Source organism: Homo sapiens, chromosome 10, assembly GCF_000001405.40.
Source record: "Homo sapiens chromosome 10, GRCh38.p14 Primary Assembly".
Taxonomy (NCBI): Eukaryota; Metazoa; Chordata; class Mammalia; order Primates; family Hominidae; genus Homo; species Homo sapiens.
Window position 1 is genome coordinate 118,536,209 of NC_000010.11, and position 3,607 is coordinate 118,539,815.

Below are 3,607 nucleotides of genomic sequence, written 5' to 3' on the forward strand. Positions count from 1 at the left end.
GTTCATTTGACCAGTCCTACTGATGGATACTTCCTGAGTTTTTAATATTATAAATATAGCTGCAATTAATAACTTTATACATGCAACTTTCATATTTTTACCACCAAATAATGCCATTATAAACATTCGAGTCTTTGTTAGAACCTATGTTTTCATTTCTCTTAAGTAAATACCTAGAAGTGGAATTGCTGAATCATATGGTAAGTTATTTGGTTGGATATAGTGTTCTCTAAATATCAATTATGTCAGAAAGATTGATAGTGTTGTTCATATTTTCTCTGCTTTTGCTGATTTTTTTTACTATTGTTGTATCAATTGCTGTTAAAAGGGTATTAAAATCTTCAACTATGATTGTGGAATTGTCTATCTCTCTAATTCTATCCTTTTTGCCTCATGCATTTTAAATGTCTGTTATTAGATATTTACAAGTTTGCTGTTGTTATGTCTTCCAATGAGTTGACCCGCTTTTACTATGAAATGTCATTTATCACTGGTAATTCTCCTTTAGTGTGGAAATCTATTTCATCTGATATCAATCAACAGACTCACTTTGATCTTATGTTTACTGTCTGCATGCTATATCTTTTCCATGTATTTACTCTCAAATTATCTGTGTCATATTTAAAGTGCATCTTTGTAGACATTATATAGTTGAATCTTGCTTTTTTATTCATTCTGACAAACTTTGTCTTTTAATTGGAGTGTTTATTCCATTAATATGTAATGTGATTATTAACATGTTTAGGTTTGTGCTATCATTGTATTTTTTTTTTTTTTTGTAAATGCTTTTTTAATGCTTTTTTAACTCCTCTGTTTCTTCTTTCTCTGTTAGGGAAGATTATTTGAAGATTTTATAGAATTCCATTTACATTTGTATTGGCTTTTTTAGGCACATTATTTCATATTGTTTTATTGACGATTACTCTAGAGATTATAACATAGATTCTTAACTTCTTATAGGCTACTTACAGTTAATGTTATTCCACTTCACATTAAATTATAGAAAACTTGTGGTCCAGTTAACTTCCCCTGTCTTTTATGCTATAGCTAATATATAATATACACACATGTGTGTAAATATAAACATACACATGTATATATAATCTACATGTTACAGACAGTGTTATAATTTTTGCTTTCAACAACCATATGTATTATAAAGAAATTAAAGCCTAGGGGGAAGAAAAATAGGTTTTAATATTTACTGAGATATTTATCATTTCCAATGCTTTCTACAACTTTCTGAAGATCTGAGGTAGCATTTATTGTAGTTGAAGTTTGCTAGTGATGAAGTAAGTTAGTTTTCTTATACATTAAAATGTCATTATTTCACCTCTACTCCAGAAATACATTTTTATTGGATATAGAATTCTAGTTTGACTTCTTAAAAAATTCATTCATTTGAAGATGCTCCATTTTATTCTTGCCTCCATCATGTATGATGAGAAGCTTGCTGTAACTGAATCACCTTTACTCTATACATAGTGTGTCATTTTTCTCATTTTCTGCTTTCTAGTTTAGCTCTTTGGTTTTCAACAGTTTGACTATAATGTGTGCATAGACATGGCCTCATTTGTACTTATCCAGCTTTGGATTCATTAAGCAAGTTGAATCTGCAAATCTATGTCTTTCAGCAAGTTTAGGAAATTTTGGATCATTTTTTTCAAATATATATTTTGCCCTATTCTCTTTTCTTCTTGAACTCCTAATACACGTATGTCATTCTGTTAGATACTATCTAACAAGTCTCTGAAGTTCTGTTCTTTTTTAAAAAATCTTTTTCTTTCTTTTTTTGGCCTGTACAATTTTTATTGATCTGTTTTCAAGTTTACTGACTCTTCTGTTTTTGCTGTTAAATCTGCAGAGTAAGTTTTTGTTGGACATATTGTATTCTTTTCAGTTCTAGAATTTTTAATCATTTCTATTTCTTTGCTGAGATTTCCTATATTTTATTCATTGAGAGCATATATACTTTTATGTCATTGATATATTTATAATAGCAGCATTAACATTTTTGTCTACTCATTGCAACAAATGGATCATCTTAGGTTGGTCTCGCTTGATTACCTTTTCTCCTGGGGATGAGTCCCATTTTCCTCCATTTTCCTGGTTCATTGTATGTCAGGTAATTTTGGATCATACTGTAGACCTTTTAAGTCTTTGTATCTTAGCCATTACTGTGATAGTGGAGAGTCTGGATTCCTTTACACTTGACCAGTGAGTAATGTTTCTTTTGTTTCAGCAGTTAATTGACTTGGTTGGATACAAACTTTAACTTTGTTTCATGGGCCGCAGCTCCAATCTCAGCGCAGATTTTTTTTTTTTTTTTTTTTTTTGAGATGGAGTCTCGCTCTGTAGCCCAGGCTGGAGTACAGTGGCGTGATCTCGGCTCACCGCAAGCTCCACCTGCCGGTTCACGCCATTCTCCTGCCTCAGCCTCCCGAGTAGCTGGGACTACAGGCGCCCGCCACCATGCCTGGCTAATTTTTTGTATTTTTAGTAGAGACGGGGTTTTACCGTGTTAGCCAGGATGGTCTCAATCTCCTGACCTCATGATCCACCTGCCTCAGCCTACCAAAGTGCTGGGATTACAGGCGTGAGCCACTGCGCCCGGCCTCAGCTCAGATTTTTTTTGTCTTCAGCTGGGAAGCTTTGAGTGGCCTCTGTGCTTGCATGTTTCAGGGGTCAGTCAAAGCTGCAGAAAGACAGAGCTTGAGGACACCCTTTTTAGCTCTTTCCTGCAAGATTCCCCTCTTCTCTCTCTAATGGCTAGACACCCTGCTCAGTGCTCTTATTCTCCAGACCAGAAAGACTACAGTTTTTCCACCAACACCCCCACTACTCCATGTGTACACAGCACTGCACATGCCTCCAGGCTACAAGCAAAAAAACAGGAAACTTACATCAATATAAGTCCCCTACTCTAAGCACGAACTCCACAATAGAATCTGCCTGCTTCTCTTTACACTCCAGAACCATCCAGTAGCTGCTTTGGGTTGTTGTTATCTACAGAGGGTTCAATCCAGTAGTAGTTTACAAATCAGCCATTACTGGGAGAGGGCTATTTCAGTGAAGTTTTAATTTGTATCTCTCTTATGAGCAGAGTTAAGCTTCTTTTTATATGCTTGTTTGAATTTTTTCCCTGTTAATTTTCTGTTTACATCTCTTGCCCATTTTTCTATTCCAGTTATGTTGGTCTTTTTCTTCTCTGTGTGTAGGTGGTGTTTCTACATTAGGAATACTAATTCCTTTTTTTCTGAGCATCTCTGGGTGTGCGAGTGTAGAAGCTTCTTCTTAGGGTTTGGTTCAGCATTGGATATTTTTTCTTTTTTTACTTTAAATGTATTATATTTTTATTATTTTATTCTTTTTGCTAGTAGGATTGTTTTTATTTTTTTTTTTAATCTTCAACTTTTAAGTTCAGGGGTACACGTGCAGGTCGTGCAGGTTAGTTATATAGGTAAACATGTGCCATGGTGGTTTGCCGCACAGATCATCCCATCACTTAGGTATAAAGCCTAGTGTCCATTAGCTATTCTCCCTGATGCTCTCCCTTGGCACCCTCCCCCACCCCGATGGGCCCCAGTGTGTATGTTTCTCCCCCCAC